This window comes from Homo sapiens, chromosome 5 (assembly GCF_000001405.40).
Source record: "Homo sapiens chromosome 5, GRCh38.p14 Primary Assembly".
In the NCBI taxonomy this organism is placed as follows: Eukaryota; Metazoa; Chordata; class Mammalia; order Primates; family Hominidae; genus Homo; species Homo sapiens.
The window spans coordinates 81,682,719-81,701,828 of NC_000005.10; the positions used below are offsets into that span (position 1 = coordinate 81,682,719).

General features: G+C 37.3%; 1 protein-coding gene across 88 annotated transcripts in view, besides 1 other annotated feature; it reads right to left on the reverse strand.

The window, feature by feature from the left end:
- The window catches only part of SSBP2 (single stranded DNA binding protein 2), a 339,004-nt gene that overhangs the window by 269,915 nt on the left and 49,979 nt on the right, over positions 1-19,110 (reverse strand). The gene's annotated exons all lie outside the window — the stretch shown is intronic.
- Positions 5,057-5,557: an enhancer, noted in NCBI's record as "H3K27ac hESC enhancer chr5:80983594-80984094 (GRCh37/hg19 assembly coordinates)". NCBI's record gives its function as "activates a minimal SCP1, AML or CMV promoter by ChIP-STARR-seq in primed H9 embryonic stem cells {active_cell/tissue: H9 hESC(primed)}" and the evidence as "EXISTENCE:reporter gene assay evidence [ECO:0000049][PMID:30033119]".

A 19,110-nucleotide genomic window follows, 5' to 3' on the forward strand; every position in this document is an offset into this window, starting at 1 on the left:
CAAACTGTCTTTGTTCACAGATGACATAATCATCTATGTAGAAATACAAAAGAATAAACAAAAAAACACCCTTGCTGGAACTAATAAACAATTATAGTAAGTTTGCAGAACACAAGATTAACAGAAAAAATCGCTTCCCTACATACTAGCAATGAACAAGTGGAATTTAAAATTAAAAATACATTACCATTTACATTAGCACCCTAGAAATGAGATACACAGGTATAAATCTAACAAAATATGTACAAGATCTATATGAGGAGAACTTCAAAACTCTGTTGAAAGACATCAAAAAAGAAATAAGTAAATGAGAGCGATACCATGTTCATGGAGAGGAAGACTCAATATCATCAAGATGTCAGCTCTTTCCAACTTAATCTATAGAGTCAATGCAATCCCAATCAAAATCCCAGCAATTATTTTGTGGATATCAAAAAATTAATTCTAAAATTTGTATAAAGAGGCAAAACCCCAGAATAACCAACAATACTGAAAGAAGAATAAAGTCAGAGGACTGACACTATTTGACTACAGTACTAAAGAAGTGTGGTACTGAAGAATAGACAAGTAGATCAGTGGAACAGAATAAAGAGCCCAGAAACAGACCCACATAAATATAGTCAACTGATCTGTGACAAAGGAGTAAAGGCAATACAATGGAGCAAAGATAGTCTTTGAACAAATGGTGTTTGAACAATTGAGCATAGATGTGCAACAAAATAAATCTAGACACATATCTTGTGCCCTTCACAAAAAAATTAACTAAAAATGGATCATATACCTAAATGAAAATGTAAAACAATAAAACTCCTAGAAGATAACATAGGAGAAAACTTAACTGACCTTGGATATGGCAATGACTTTTTAGATTCAACACAAAACATTTTGTGATAGAAATAACTGGTAAGTTTGGCTTCATTAAAATTAAAAACTGTGTGAAAGGCACTGTCAAGAGAATGAGAAGGCACAGAATGAGGGAAAATGTTTGCAAAAAACACATCTGATAAAGGACTGTTGATCCAAAATAAGCAAAGAACTCTTAAAACAACAAGAAAATGAACAACCTGATTAAAAAATGAACAAAAAAGCCTTTCACCAATGAAGATATAGAGATGGCAAGTAAGCATACAAAAAGATGCTCAATATCATACATCATTAGGGAATTTCAAGTTAAAACTAAATACCACTATGCAAATATTTGAATGGCCAAAATTCAAAATACTGACACCACCAAATGCTGACAAAAATGTGAAGCAACAAGAATTTCCATTCATTGCTGGTGGAAATGCAAACTGGGACAGCCACTTTGGAGGACAATTTGGTAGCTTCTTACAAAGCTAAACACATTCTTAACATACAATCCAGCAATTCATCTCCTTAATACTTACTCAAAAAACTGAAAACTTATTTCCTCATGAAAACATGCACACAAATGTTTATGGCAGCTTTACCTACAATTGCCAATACATAGAAGCAACCAAGATTCTTCAGTAGGTAAATGAAGAAATAAATTGTAGTACATCTAGACAATGAAATATTATTCAACACTAGAAAGAAATGAGTTGGTCATGTAAAGACACAGAGGAAACTTAAACACATATTACTAAGTGAAAGAAGCCAATCTGAAAAGGCTATGAACTGCATGGTTCAAATTACATAATAATCTGGAAAAGGCAAAACTATGGATACAGCAAAAAGATCAGTGGTTGCCAGGGGTTCAGAGAGACAGAGGGATGAATGGGCAGAATACAGGGTATTTTTAGGGTAGTAAAACTAGTCTGTATGTGCCCAAGGCCTTGGGACCCACCTCTTGCATCATTGTGCCCTGGTTGTGAGACACGGAGTCAAAGGAGGTTATTTGGGAGCTTTAAGATTTAATGACTGCCCTACTGGGTTTTATACATGCATGGGGCCTATAGTCCTTTTGTTTTAGCCAATTTCTCCCATTTGGAACAGGAGCATTTACCCGATGCTTGTACCCCGACTGCATCTTGGAGTAACTAACTTGTTTTTTATTTCACAGGCTCATGGGCAGAAGGGACTTACTTTGTCTCAGATGAGACTTTGGACTGTGGACTTTTGAGTTAATGCTGAATGAGTTAAGACTTGGGGGACTATTGAGGGGGATTATTGAGAAGGGATAATTGTATTTAGCAATGTGAGAAGGACATAAGATTTGGGAGGGGCCAGGGGCAGAATGATATGGTTTGGATTTGTGTCCCCACACAAATCTCATGGGGAATTGGAGGAGGGGCCTGGTGGGAAGTGATTGGATCATGGGGCTGGATTTCCCCCTTGTTCTTCTTGTGATAGTGAGTTCTCACGAGATCTGATAGTTTAAAAGTGTATGGCACTTCCCCCTTCACTCGCTCTCTCTCTCCTGCTGCATGTGAAGAAGGTGCTTGCTTCCCCTTCACCTTCTGCCATGATTTTAAGTTTCTTGAGGCCTCCCAGTCATGCTTCCTGTTAAGTCTGCAGATCTGTGAGTCAATTAAATCTCTTCTCTTCATAAATTACCCAGTCTCAGGTAGTTCTTTATAGCAGCATAACAATAGACTAATACAGTATGATACTACAATGGTTAATATATAGGATACATTTGTCAAAACTGATAGGATATATAAGAATGAACCCTAATTTGAACTATATATGATAATGATGTCTTAATGTATTCAGCAATTGTAACAAATGTACCACTGTGGCACATGTAAGATATGGATAATCAGGCAGGATGTGTGGAGGGAAAGAAGGAGTATATATGAACTCTCGGTGCTTCACACTCAATTTTGCTCTGAACTTTAAACTGCTTTAAAAAATAAATTTTATTAATTAAAAAGAAGTTGCCCTACTTATAGAACCAGAGAAGGGGAGGCTTATCTGTTAATACTTGTAGCACCTGCAGATGGGCTATATTAACTTCTTTTGTTCTTGCGGTAGGAAGCACAGGTGTTTTCACCACTTAATGGAAAGAGGTTCCAACTTTACTGAATAGACAGCCAATTCCAAAACCCCAACAGATGGGGTTCTAGATACCTAAGCAATAAACAGCCAAGGGCACTTTTAGCCACTGGGTGGTCCACAAAATAGACTATCCAAATCACATTTAATCTGCCTAATCTAAACCTAGAAAACCTTCCATTTATTTTAGAAATAATGCACAAAGAATATCATTATTTGCTTTGTAAATAATTCCCCCAGAATACCCCAAAAGTACATTAACTGGAATCTTCCTCAGTTCGCTATGTAAATAAAATTCTTCAAAGCACATGGGATAAGTCTTGACATTTTTCTCAAAAAATTTCCCAAAAGGTTAGACAGTAAGAAAGGTAGGAATCAACTTCAACAAAAGAAGAAATCAACTTAATCCACTCAGGTTAATTTTTAATTGAATCCAGATAGCCTTACTATTTCACTGAACCAGTTATTCCTTTAAAATAAAGAGCCACATTTATCAACCAAATTCCCATTAAATGTCACCAAAATGATCATCTCATATTGAAATATGTATGCCTTACAGATGAAATGAAAATTAATCCTAGTTACAGTGATCGCAAGTGAAGATCTGTTGGATATTTTTAATGTAAATCAAATTCATATTGTAAATTTACTGAATAAAATGTAATATTTACTAAATTAATGGCCCTTTAACATGTATATGGCTTTTCACTTTATAAACAAATCTAAGACAGAAAGTACTTAAATACCTAAAATCAACTTGCAAAATCTTAGGAAATGTATTTTTTATATTAAGATTTATTCTGAGGTTATAGTTTCATAGGACATAGTGAATTTAAAAAGCCAGTAATTATTGTATTTAGTAAATACAGAACAAGTCACTAAAAAAGTGACAAAATGGGGCCGGGCACGGTAGCTCATGCCTGTAATCTCAGCGCTTTGGGAGGCTGAGGCAGGCAGATCACGAGGTCAGGAGTTCAAAACAAGCCTGGCCAGTATGGTGAAACCCCGTCTCTACTAAAAATACAAAAATTAGCCGGGTGTGGTGGCATGTGCCTATAGTCCTAGCTACTCAGGAGGCTGAGACAGGAGAATCGCTTGAACCCAGGAGGTGAAGGTTGCGGTGAGCCAAGATTGCACCACTGCACTCCAGCCTGGGCAACAGAGCGAGACTTCATCTCAAAAAAAAAAAAAAAAAAGAAAAGAAAAGAAAAGAAAAGAAAAGAAAAGAAAAGAAAAGAAAAAGTGACAAAATGGGAAGTGGAGAAAGATGGCCAAATAGAAGCATCCACCCATTGTCCTCCCAGCAAGAACACCGAAGTGAATGACTATTCACACAAAAAAGGACCTTCCTAAGAACCAAAAATCAGACGAGTCATAACAGTACCTGGTTTTAACTTCGGATCACTGAAAGCAGCACTGAAGAGAGTAGAAAAGACAGTTTTGAATTACTGATGCCACCCTACCCGATCACCCGGCAGCGGCCGCATGGTACGGAGAATCTGTGCCATTGTGGGAGGGAGAGCACAGTGACTGTGGGACTTCGCATTGGAACTCAGTGCTGCATGTCACAGCAGAGAGCAACACCGAACAGAACTCAGTTGGCACTCATGGAGGGAGCATATAGACCAGCCCTAGCCAGAGGGGAATCCCCCAGCCCAGTGGCCAGAACCTGAGTTCTGGCAAGCTTTACCACCATGGGCTAAAGTGTTTGGTGCTAAATAAACATGAAATACAATCTAGAACACAAGTACTACAATTCCTGGGCAAGTCCTGATGCTGTGCTGGACTCAAAGCCAGTGAATGTGCAGGGCATATGACCCAGTGAGACACCAGCCAGGGTGGCCAAGGGAGTACTTGTACCACTCCTCCCTCAATCAACCCCAGGCAGCACAGCTTAAAGCTATAGGAGATACTCCTTCCTTCCACTTGAGGAGAAGAGAGGGAAGAGTAAAGAGGGCTTTGTTTTGCAACTTGAAAACCAGCTCGGTCACAGTAGGATAGGGCACCAGGCAGAGTCGTGAAGTTACCATTCCAGGCCCTAGCTCCCAGAAGACATTTCTAGACACATCCTGGGCCTGTAGGGAACCCACTGTCTTGAAGGGAAGAACCCAGTCTTGGCAGGATTCATTACCTTCTGACTAAAGAGCCCTTGGGGCCTGAATAATCAGCAGTGGTAGCCAGGCAGTACTTGCTATGGGTCTTGGGTAAGACTCAGAGATGTGCTGGCTTCAGGTGCGACCCAGCACATTCCCAGCTGTAGTTGCTACAAGGAGGAACTCCTTCTGATTGAGAAAACGAGAAGGAAGACAAAAGGGTACTTTGTCTTGCAGCTTAGGTACCAGCTTGGCCACAGTAGGGTACCTGCTTGGCCCTGGGTCCAGGCCTTGGCTCTTGGATGGCATTTCTGGACCTGTCCTGGCCCAGAAGGAAGCCCACTGTCCTGAAGGGAGCAGTAGCCAGGCAGTATTCACTGCAGGCCTGGGGTAATAGGAGCCACAGGGAGATTCCTCTGCTCAAGGAAAGGGGAGGGAAGACTGAGAAGGACTTTGTCTTATGATTCGGGTGCCAGCTCAGGCACAGAATAGAATACCAAGTAGATTCCTAAAGTTTCTGACTCCAGGCCCTGGCTGCTGAATGGCATCACTGGATCCGCCCAGGACCAGGGGAAACTTGCCGCCCTGAAACAAAGAACATTAGCTTGGCTGACTTTGCCATCTGCTGATTATAGAGCCCTAGGGCCTTGAGCAACCATAGGTGGTAGCCAGACAGTGGTTACCACAGGCCTTGGGTGTGACCCAGTGCTGGACCAGCTTCATGTCTGACCCAGTGGTTATAGCCACGGGGGTGCTTGTGTCACCCCTCACGCAGCTCCAGGCACCTCAGCACAGACAGAAAGACTGTTTGTTTGGAAGAAAGTAAAGAAAAAGAATAAGAGTTTCCACCAGGTAATCCAGGGAAAGCTTCCAGATCTCATGTAAGACCAACAAGGCAGTACCTCTACAAGTCTGCAAGAACCACAGCTTTATTGGGTTTGGGGCTCAAGTCCCTTCAAATACCTGAAAAGCCTTCCCAATAAGGAAAGGCACAACAAGCCCAAATTGCAAAGATTACAATGCCTAACTCTTCAATGCTCGAACACTGATGAACAACTGCATGCATCAAGGCCATCCAGGAAAACACAACCTCAATAAACAAACTAAATAAGCCTCCAGAGACCAATAATGGAGAGATGGAGATATGTGCACTTCCAGACAGAATTTAAAATAGCTGTTTTTGAGGAAACTCAGCAAAATTAAAGAAAACACAGAGAAGGAACTCAGAATGTTATCAGATAAATTTAACAGAGATTGAAATATTAATAAAAAGAATCAAGCAGAAATTCTGAAGTTGAAAAACGCAACTGACATACTGAAGAATGTATCAGAGTCTCTTAACACCAGAATTGATCAAGCAGAAGAACAAATTAGTGAGCTTGAAGACAAGCTATTTGACAGTATACAGTCAGAGGAGAAAAAAAGAAAAAAGAATAAAGTATGCTTACAGGATGTAGGAAATAGCCTCAAAGGGCAAATCTAAGAGTTATTGGCTGTAAAGAGGTGGTAGAAAAAGAGATAAGGGTAGAGACTATTCAAAGGAATAATAACAGAAATTCTCAAACCTAGAGAAAGGTATTAATATTTAAGTACAATAAAGTTATAGAACACTAAGCATATTTAACCGAAATAAGACTATCTCAAGGCATCTAATAATCAATTCCCAAAGGTCAAGGATAAAGAAAGAATCCTACAAGCAGCAAAAGAGAAACAAATAACATACAATAAAGCTCTAATACATCTGACAGCAGATTTCTCAGCTGAAACCTTACAGGCCAGGAGAGAGTACCTAAAGTGCTAAAGAAAAAAAAAAAACTTCTAGAATAATATATCCAGCAAAAATATCCTTCAAACATGAAGAAGAAATAAAAACTTTCCCAAAAAAGTTGAGTAATTTCATCAACACCAGACCTCCCCTACAAGAAATGCTAAAGGGAGTTATTTAATATGAAAGAAAAGAACATTAGTGAGCAACATAAAATCATTTAAAGGTACAAAACTTACTGGTATGGTAAGTACACAGAAAAACATAGAATATTGTGACACTGTAATTGTGGTGTTTAAACCATTCATATCTGGAGTAGAAAAACTAAAAGATAAACTGATCAAAAATAAAAACTACAACTTCTCAAGATGTAGACAGTACAATAACATATAAATAGAAACAAAAAATGTTTAAAAGTGGGGATGAAGTAAATGTAGAGTTTTTACTAGTTTTCTCTGTTTCTTTATGCAATCAGTGTTAAGTTTCATTAGTTTAAAAATAATGGGTTATAAGATATTATTTGCAAGATTTCTGGTAACCTCAAATCAAAAAGAATACAACAGATAAACAAAAAAATAAAAAGCAAGAAATTAAAACATAATACCAGAGAAAATCACCTTCACTAAAAGGAAGACAGGAAGGAAGAAAAGAAGAAAGAGAAGACCATAAGACAACCAGAAAACAAATAACAAAATGGCAGGAGTAAGTACTTAACTTATCAATAATAACATTGAATGTAAATGGACTAAACTCTCCAGTCAAAAGTCATAGTGTAGCTGAGTGGATATAAAAACAAGATCCAACGATCTGTTGCGTACAATAAACACACTTCACTAAAAAGACACAAAGACTGAAAATAAAGGGATTAAGAAAGATATTCCATGCAAACAGAAACCTAAAAGAACAGAAGTAACTATGCGTATATCAGACAAAACAGATTTCAAGACAAAGAAGGCCATTATATAATGATAAAGTGATCAATTCAGCAAAGAATATAACAATTGTAAATACATATGCATACAACACTGCAGCACCCAAATATATAAAGCAACTATTATTAGAGTTAGAGAGATAAACCCCAATAGAATAATAGCTGGAGACTTCAACAACCCTCTTTGAGCATTTGACAGATCGTTCAGACAAAAAAAGTCAACAAATAGGCCAAATCTTCACTATAGGCCAAATGGACCTAATAGATATTTACAGAACACTTCATCCAATAGCTGCAGAATACACATTCTTCTCCCCACATGGATCATTCAAAACAGACCATATGTTAGGCCACAAAACAAGTCTTAAAATATTCCAAAAAATCTGAAATTATATCAAATAACTTCTTTGACCACAATGAAATAAAACCAGAACTCGGTAACAAGAGGAGTTCTGGGAACTATATAAACACAGGTAAATTGAACAAATGTCCTCCTAAATGACCAGTGGGGTCAGTGAAGAAATTAAGAAGGAAATTTTAAAATGTATTGAAACAAATGATAATGGGAACACAACATACCAAAACCTGTGGGATACAGCGAAAGCCATTCTAAGAGGAAAGTTTATAGCTATAAACACCTACATCAAAAGAGTAGAAAAACTTCAAATAAACAATCTAACAATGCATCTTAAAGAATTAGAAAAGCAAGAGCAAACAAAGCCCAAAATTAGTAGAAGGAAAGAAATAATAAAGATCAAGCAGAAATAAATAAAATTGAAACAAAGCAATACAAAAGATCAATGAAAAAGTTGTTTTTTTCCAAAGATAAACAAAATCAATAAACCTTTACCCAGACTAAGAATAAAAGAGAGAAGACCCAAATAAATGAAATCAGAGATGAAAAACGAGACATTACAATTGTTACCACAGAAATACAAAGGATTATTAGTGGCTACTATGAGCAACTACATGCCAATAAATTGGAAAACCTAGAAATGGCCAAATTCCCCTAGATACACACAAACTACCAAGACTGCACCAAGATGAAATCCAAAACCTGAACAGACCAATAACAAGTAACAAAATTAATGCTGTAATAAAAAAAAAAACTCCCAGCAAAGAAAAGCCCAGGACCCATTAACTTCACTGCTGAATTCTATCAAACATTTAAAGAAGAACTAATACCACCTCTACTCAAATTATTCTGAAATATAGAAGAGGAGGGAAGACTTCCAAACTCGTTTTAGAAGACTGGTATTACTCTGATACCAAAACCAGACAAAGACACATCAAAAAAAGAAAACTACAAGCCAATATCCCTAATGAACACTGATGTAAACATCTTCAACAAAATACTAGCAACCAAATTCAACAACACATTAAAAACATCATTCATCATAACCAAGTAAGATTTATTTCAGGGGTGCAAGGATGGTTCAACAGATGCAAATCAATCAATGTGCCTTTCCTCTAAAATCTGGAACTCAACAAGGATGCCCACTTTCACCACTGTTATTCAACACAGTACTGGAAGTTCCAGCTAGAGCAATCAGACAAGAGAAAGAAATAAAGGCATCCAAACTGGAAAGAAATAAATCAAATTATCCTTGTCTGCAGATGACTTTATCTTATATTTGGTAAAACCCAAAGACTCCACCAAAAGACTATTGGAAGTGACAAACAAATTTGGGAAAGCTGCAGGAAGCAAAACCAACATACAAAAATCAGAAGCATTTCTATATGTCAACAATGAACAATCTGAAAAATAAATCAAGAAAGTAATCCCATTTATAATAACCGAAAATAAAATAAAATACCTAGGAATTAACCAAAGAAGCGAAAGATCTCTGCAATAAAAACTATAAAACACTGATGAAAGAAATTGAAGAGGACAACAAAAAAAATGGAAAGATATTCCATGTTGATGAATTGGAAGAATCAATATTGCTAAAAATGTCCATACTACCCAAAGCAATCTACAGATTCAATGCAATCCATATTAAAATACCAATGACATTTTTTCACAGAAATAGAGAACATTCCTAATATTTATATAGAACCACAAAAGATTCAGAATAGGCAAAGCTATCCTGAGCAGAGAGAACAAAACTGGAGAAATCACATTACCTGACTTCAAATTATACTACACAGCTATAGTAACCCAAACAGCATGGTACTGGCATAAAAACAGACACACAGACCAATGAAACAGAAAAGAGAACACAGAAACAAATCCATACATCTACAGTGAACTCATTTTTGACAAAGATGTCAAGGATATACACCGGAGAAAGGAAAGTATCTTCAATAAATGGCACTGGGAAAACTGGATATTTATATGCAGAAGAATGAAACAAGATCCCTATTTCTCACCATATATAAAAACCAAATCAAAATGGATTACAGACTTAAATCTAAGACCTCAAACTATAAAACTCTTAAAAGAAAATATTGAGGAGGCCAGGTGTGGTGGCTCACGCCTGTAATCCCAGCACTTTGGGAGGCTGAGGTGGGTGGATCACGAGGTCAGGAGATGGAGACCATCCTGGCCAACACAGTGAAAGCTTGTCTCTACTAAAATACAAAAAAATTATCCAGACATGGTGGCACGCGCCTGTAGTCCCAGCTACTCAGGAGGCCGAGGCAGGAGAATCGCTTGAACCTGGAGGCAGAGGTTGCAGCGAGCCTAGATCACGCCACTGCACTCCAGCCTGGCGATGGAGCAAGACTTTGTCTTAAAAAAAAAAAAAAAAAAAAAGAAAGAAAATATTGAGGAAACTCTCCAGGACATTGGACTGGGCAAAGGTTTATTGAGGAATACCCTACAAGCACAAGCAATCAAAGCAAAAATGGTCAAATGGAATTACATCAAGTTAAAAAGCTTCTTCACAGCAAAGGACACACTGAACAAAGTTAAAAGAGACAATCCGCAGAATGGGAGAAAATGTTTGCAAACTATCCACCTAACAGGGATCAATAACCAGAATATATAAGGAGCTCAAACAGCTGTACAGAAAAATAATCTAATAATGTGATTATAAAATGGGCAGAAGATCTGAATAGACATTTCTCAAAAGAAGTCATACAAATGGCAAACAGGCATATGAAAAGGCGCTCAACATCATTGATCATCAGAGAAAAACCAAACAAAAGTTCAATGAGTTATCACCTCACTTCAGTTAAAACAGCTTTTGTCCAAAAGACAGGCAATAACAAATGCTGGAGAGGATGTGGAGAAAAGGGAACCCTCGTACATTGTTGGTGGGAATATAAATTAGTACAACCACTATAGAGAATAGTTTGGAAGTTCCTCAAAAAACTAAAAATAGAACTACCATATGATCCAGCAATCCCATTGCTAGGTATACACCCAAAAGAAAGAAAATCAGTATATTGAAGAGATACCTGCACTCCCATATTTATTGCAGCACCACTCACAATAGCCAAGATTTGGAAGCAATCTTAGCGTCCATCAACAGACAAATGGATAAAGAAAATATGGTGCATATACAGAATGAAGTAGGCCATAAAAAAAAAGAATGAGATCCTGTCATTTCAACAACATGGACAGAACTGGAGGACATTATGTTAAGTGAAATAAGCCAGGCACAGAAAGACAAACTTTGCATGTTCTCAGGTATTTGTGGGAGCTAAAAATTAAAACAATTGAACTCATGGAGACAGAAAGTAGAATGACAGTTATTAGAGTCTAAAGGGTAGTGGGGCGAGGAAAAGTAAGGATGGTTAGTGGGTACAAAAATAGTCAGAATGAATAAGACCCAGCATTTGATAGTACAACAGGGTACCTGCAGTCAACAACAATTTATTGTACATTTTAAAACAACTAAAAAAGTAGAATTGTATTGTGTGTAACAAAATAAAAGAATAAATGCTTGAGGTAACGGATACCCCCATTTACCCTGTGATTATTATGCATTCTATGCCTGTGTCACATTATCTCAAGTATATACACCTACTATGTACCCACAAAAATTAACAATTAGAAATATTGACTAAGTAAATTTGGGGACTGACTTTTCCAGATAAGTCATCCTCATTAATCTGGCTTTAGAAGTTTTTTTTTTCTATCCACAGTAAAAGTACTTTTTATTTCAATTTTTAAAAAGCCTCTGTTCCTTTTTCCTGAGCCCCATTCAGTCTCTATCCTCCACCCTTACCCCACCACCACCAAACTAAAGTGACAGTTCCCTTTCAAAATTCAAAGAAGGCTTGGTGTAGTGGCTCATGCCTCTAATCCTAATGCTTTGGGAGTCCAAGGTGGAGGGATCACTTGAAGCCGGCAGTTCAAAACCAGCCTGGGCAACATAGCAAGACTCTACCTCTACAAAAAAAAATTTTTTTAACTAGCTGGGCATGGTACATTCCTGTACGACTAGAAGTACAAGGCACATTCTTGTACTTCTAGCTACTCAGGAAGGCAGGAGGATTGTTTGAGCCCAGGAGTTGAAGACTGCAGTGAGCTGTGACCACACCACTGAATTCCAGCATGGGCAACAGAGCAAGACTCTGCCTCTAAAAGAAACAAAGAAACAAAACTCAAATAACCAGGTCTAAACCTTGCAATGTAGCTTCAATTACAGATAATGTTCAAAGGAACATATTTTAAATAATCAGGAAAATACTGATAAAATGCCACTGTAACAGATTTCATTCTTGAGTATATACATATAAACCAACTATAAGAAAGAATAAAATTAAGTATCTAAAATCACTTACTAAAACTGAGAAAAAGTATCTGCAATGTTTGTACTTCATGTTGTATTCTTACAATATATCCCAGATTAGGAAACCAGTAATTACATAGCAAATGCAAGACAAATCGCACCAAAAAGTGATTAAGAATTATTCTGGTTTAGTCTTTCAAGGATTTTTTATTATTATACTTTAAGTTCTAGGGTACATGTGCACAACCTGCAGGTTTGTTACATATGTATACATGTGCCATGTTGGTGTGCTGCACCCATTAACTCATCATTTACATTAGGTATTTCTCTTAATGCTATCCCTCCCCCCTCCCCCCACCCCACGACAGGCCCCGGTGTGTGATGTTCCCTGCCCTGTGTCCAAGTGTTCTCATTGTTCAGTTCCCACCTATGAATGAGAACATGCGGTATTTGGTTTTCTGTCCTCAAGGGTGACTTTTAAATCTCTACATTTTATGTTGAAAATAAACTTTGAAAACTTAGATATTACTAATGTCATTTTTCTATATTTGCTTGTAATCCGTAAGTAAATCTTGTTTCCTTTTTAGATTATTATTGCTAGGAACTTCTCTCTTTGCTTTGACTAAATGAGGTTTAATTAGTGGATTTTATTTAATTATGTCTTCTCTCTTTAAGGAATTTTATTTTACATTGATTTTAAATTCTGCTTAATAATATAATTTTTATCTTGAAAAGATTTCAAAGATTCTAATACTTATCAGAAAATTTAATAAAATGCATGAGTAATATTTTAAAAACTGATCCATGTGCTCTATAGACATTCAAATATTTCCTAATGATATTATTGATAAAAAGGAAATGTTAATATAAGGAAACAGAGTACAGGCAGAACCTGACTTGCAAATATCCATCCTGCACATGCAGCATCTGAGAAACTCAAGGCCCCGGTTAGGCTGACTGCAAAGATTCCTGTTCCCTACATGCCACTACGGTTAAACACTCCGCTCTAGTTCCAACCTACCCTTCCCCACTCCTGACTCCACCCCAATACTATTCCATTTACCCTGAACTCCAATCATTCCTTTTCTAGGTGCGAAGGATTCTCCACGCCCAGAATGAGCTTTTATATATACCTGTCTCCAAGTATAACTACTTCAACCCATTTCTTTAACTCCCAGGATCCTGTATCTCCTTCCTGTCACAGATGCAGAGGATACTCTTTTCTCTCTTGTCCTTGCCACTACCATAATACGTAAAGGAAGAAATTCCCTCTCACTGCCGATGAGCTACACGAAGAAATGGAAAAAATCCCTGCTCCTCAAGGGGTATGGAAGTTGGGGGTGGGAGAAAGAACATTCTTCTAGGCATTGGACTTGCCTGTAAAACTAAGCAGATTCTCTAAATTTTAGATTACAGTTGAAACTCATTCTGAAAGACAATGGGAAACCACAGTTGTTAGTTCTGGAGTTCAACTATAACCATCTGGCAATGTAATTACAATTCATAATATTTTCTCTGCCGGGACTATGTTCCCTGTACCAAACAAGCTAATTTACATACCACCTTTTGAAAGGCAACCTATTTACACACTGGGTGGGCAGAGGGGGGCAGCATATAGAGTGATTAATTCATATTTCCTACACTAAGAAACACGAAGTATGAGGAGATGAAACTATAAACTGCTACGGAGCAGGAACCTTGCATGCCTTGTGCAGCACCGTATTCCTCACCTGGCATCTGGCACACTTTAAGCACTTGACAAATACCTGTGGAAATAAAGTGGATGGAGGTTGGGCACAGGGAGAAGTCCAACATCTCCAAGAATCCCCATCCATGATGCACACGTACCTGTCATCAGTTAAGAAAGAATACAGGGCATTTCAGAGATCAGAAAGAAAAGTACCTTCTTTATCCTTCAAGCAATATGAGATGAGTGGGATTTTCTTTTAAAATAATTTTAATTTATCAAAGGCCAAAGATGTTATCTACCCAAGACAGGCTGTCAAAAATTCGGCTGTCCAGTTGAAACTTGAAATGTTACATCATCTTTCACTGGTTTCACTATAAGATAACTTAAAGTGATAAATGCTTTCGACTTAACCAGCCAGAAAAATAAAATGGAGGGCTGAGGACCTTTTTCTGTACAAAACTGAGGAGCAGGGAAAGGAAGACTCACTGTAGTAGAAATGCTTTCAGACTGAATTGTCTAGATTGGTTGTTTTTAGCTGGTGGTTTATTTCATTCACTTAAACAGACATATTCTTAAGTATGCTTTTATCGCAATAGTCTATGATTGCTTGTATTGGAACTTATAACGTAGTATTTATTTATATGGAATGTTTCATTAATATTCCTTACCCAATGTTCTATTTTAACCAGATTAGCATCAACAAAAATAAAACCACTGTTTCAAGAAATAAAGCATAAAAAGGCAAATATAATAGTTAACTACTATGATTACCAGCCCAAATATTCTTAATCTTATCTTTTCTAGAACTACTTAGGACAAAATTTTGAAGAACAAACTAAAACAGGGCCTGGGCTTTCAGCTCTGCTATCTAATTTTCTGGAGACCACAAAAAAACTCTTTAAAAAGGAATAATATTCTCCAAATAGGCAAGGTAAAACACTAAGTAAATATTTTGCTGCTGTAAGTACTAAGCCCCTAAATCCAGTAATAATTACTCAAATATCCAAATGATGCACAAAAGAAGAAACATATCAACTGAATAAATATTGACATTATGAAAATATAAGTATAATTATCTGCCTCTATGGTAAAATAATCTAAAATCTCATCTACATATTCTTTTGAAAAATAACTTCTTTACACTGTGTTTTATATCCCAACTAATTTTATATTCAATTTCTTTTTTTAAGACACTATCTCCTAAAATGTTAAAGATGATACTGGGAAATTTATGTGACCATTTAAAATAATCAGACTATGACTAACATAGAATATAAATGAACTACAAAGAAAATACACTGAAAGTAAAAGATCTGTAATATAAAATGTACCAACCACAAAATCAGATTATAGTAAAAAATAATTTTAAGATTTTTTTGGCATATCAAGCTTAATTCTTCTACATTATGTGTAAACAATAAAATAGGCAACCTAATGTAGATTGTGATGCTATGTGTACTACAAGGATTTAATAAATCATTTTTATCTGAATGTTCTACCTATTTTCATATTTTTTAATTTATACCAGTTGCAAAAAATGGCACAATATAGCACAAAACAAAAAGGTAAGAGGATGAACACCAAAAGTTATCCTATTTTTAACAAATAACTCATTTTCAGCAATAAAGACAGGTTAAGGGGTGGCAAAGAGATGGGTGGAAAAGCAGCATTGATTTTAAACTGCATGTAGGCCACGTGCGGTGGCTCACGCCTATAATCCTAGCACTTTGGGATGCTGTGGTGGGCGGATTACTTGAGGTCAGGAGTTCGAGACCAGCCTGGCCAACAAGGTAAAACCCTGTCTCTACTAAAAATACAAAAATTAACTGTGGTGGTGCATGCCTGTAATCCCAGCTACTCGGGAGGCTGAGGCAGGAGAATTGCTTGAATCTGGGAGGCAGAGGTTCCAGTGAGCCAAGATTGCACCACTGTACTCCAGCCTAGGTGACAGAGCAGGACTCCATCTCAAAAAATAAAAAATACACTGCATACATTTGCCAGGTTCCAATAAATCTAATTCTGAAGTCTTTGTACTTCACTGCCCATCCTTGATCAATCTGAACAAAATTTAAAGAAAGATTTCTTTATTAAGCAACTGCAGGCATACTTCACATATACTGTGGGTTCAGTTCCAGACCACTGCAGTAAAGTGAACACTACAATAAAGTGAGTCACATGAATTTTTTAGCTTCACAACGCATATAAAAGCTATGTTTACACTAGACTGTATTCTGTGTGCAATAGCATTATGTCTAAAAAATGTACATACCTTGTTTAAAAATATTTTATTGCTAAAAATGCTAATGATCATCTGCGCATTCAGCAAGTAGTAATCCTTAGCTGGTGTAGGGTATTGACTTGATGTTGATGGCTATGGGCTGATCGGGGTGGCAGTTGCTGAAGGCAGTGGTGGCTGTGGCAAATAAGACAATGAAGTCTGCTGCATTGATTGACTCTTCCTTGCAGGAAAGATTTCTCTGTAGCATGCTATGCTGTTTGACCCACAGTAGAACTTCTTTCAAAATTGGAGTCAATGCTCTCAAACCCTGCCACTGTTTTATCAACTAAGTTTATGTAATGTTCTAAATCCTTTGTTGTCATTTCAACAATGTTCACAGCATCTTCACCAGAAGCAGATTCTATCTCAAGAAACCACTTTCTTTGCTCATCCATAAGAAATAACTCCTCATCCATTTAAGTTGTATCATGAGATTGCAGCAATTCAGTCACATCTTCAGGCTCCACTTCTAATTCTGGTTCTCTTGCTATTTCTACCACATCTGCAGTGACTTCCTCAACTCCGGTCTTGAAACCCTCCAAGTCATCCACGAGGGTTGGAATCAGCTTCTTCCAAACTCCTGTTCATGTTCATATTTTTACTTCCTCCCATTTGTCGCACATTTTCCTAATGACAACTAGAATGGTGAATCCTTCCAGAAAATTTTAAATTTACTTTGCCCAAATTCAACAGAGGAATCACTATTTATGACAGATAGCTTTACAAAATCAATTTCTTTTTTTTTTTTTTTTTTTTGAGACATGGTCTGCTCTGTCACCCAGGCTGGAGTACGGTGGCACCATCAGGGTGTGCTTCAGCCTCAACCTCCCAGGCTCAGGTAATCTTTCCACCTGAAGTGGCTACAGGCACCTGCCACCACACCTAGCTAAATTTTTTTAATATTTTTTTGTAGTGATGAAGTTTCTCCATGTTGCCCAAGCTAGTTTCAAACTCCTGGACTCAAGTAATCCTCCTACCTTGGCTCCCAAAGTGCTAGGATTACAGGTGTGAGCCACTGTGCCTGGCCATGAAATGTATTTCTTAATTAAGACCTGAAAGTCAAAATTACTGCTTAATCCATAGGTTACAGAATGGATGTTGTATTAGTAGGCAGGGAAACAATATCAATCTCTTTGCACATCTCCAGAACTCTTAGGTGACAAAGTGCACTGTCAAGGAGCAGTGAAAAAGAAAGAAATAGTCTTTCCTGAGCAGTAGGTCTCAACAGTGGGCTTAAAATATCCAGTAAGCCATGCTATAAATAGATGTACTGTCTTCCAGGCTTTGTTGTTCCATTTCATTTATAGTGCACAGGCAGAGTAGATTTAGCATCATTCTTAAGGTTCCTAGGATTTTCAGAATAAGCATTGGCTTCAGCTTAAAGTCACCAGCTGCATTAACCTCTAACAAGAAAGTCAGCCTGTCCTTTGAAGCCAGGCATTGGCTACTTTCTCTAGCTGTGAAGTCCTACATGGCATATTCTTCTAATAGACTGCTGTTTCAACTACACTGAAAATCTCTTGTTTAGGGTAGCCTCACTCATCAATGATCTTAGATCTTCTGGATAATGTGCTGCAGCTTATATATCATCAGCACTTGCTTCTTCACTTTGCACTTTTATATTATGGAGACGGGTTCTTTCCTTACACCTCATGAACCAACCTCTGCTAGCTTCAAAATTTTCTTCTGCAACTTCCTTGCCTCCTAGTCTTCACAAACTGAAGAGTTAGGATCTCCCTCTGGATTTGGCTTTGGTTTAAGGGAATGTTGTGGCCATATCTTCTAACCAAACCACTCAAACTTTCTCCGTATTGACCATAAAGCTATTCTACTTTCTTGTCATTTGTGTGTTCACTGGAGTAGCCCTTTTAATTTCCTTTAGGAAGCTTTTCTTTGCATTCAACTTGGCTGTTTGGCACAAGGGGCCTAGCTTTCAGTCTATCTTGGCTTTTGACATGTCTTCTTCATTAGGCTTAATCGTTTCTAGCTTTTGATTTAAAGCAAAAGACATATGATTCTTCCTTTCACTTGAACACTTAGAGGCCATTGTAGGTTATTAATTGGCCTAATTGTAATACTTTCATGTCTCAGAGACAGGAAGAGAGATGGGAAACAGCTGTTTGGTGGAGCAGTGAGAACACACACAACATTTATCAATTATATTCTCCATCTCCTGTGGGTGAGGTTTGTGGCATCCCAAAACAATTTCAACAGTAGCATCAAAGATCACTGATCATAGAACCTCATAATAGATATAATAATAATAAAAAGTTTGAAATAGAAGAAAAATTACCAAAATGTGATGTGGAGACACAAAGTGAGCCCATGTCCTTGGTAAAATAATACCAACAGACTTGCTCTATGCAGGGTGGCCACAAACCTTCAATTTGTAAAAAATAATATTGTCTACTGAGTATAATAAAGTGGAGCACAATAAAACAAGGTGCACCTGTACTATGTGCCAAGCACCATGCTAAATTATCCCACTAAAGATGTCTCAAATAAAATGAGAACATTTTGAGTAGGCTAATTTTATAAGGCCTTTTATTTTAGTTGTACCAAAACAAGCCCTCCAAAATACAAAAGCACTAAAGGAATAGACATCTTTGTCACTTTGTTCCATCCTTGGCACCTAAAGAAACTCCTGGACTGAACATAATTATTTACTTCAGCAACTCTGAGTCTTTGACATTATAATGTACATTATAAA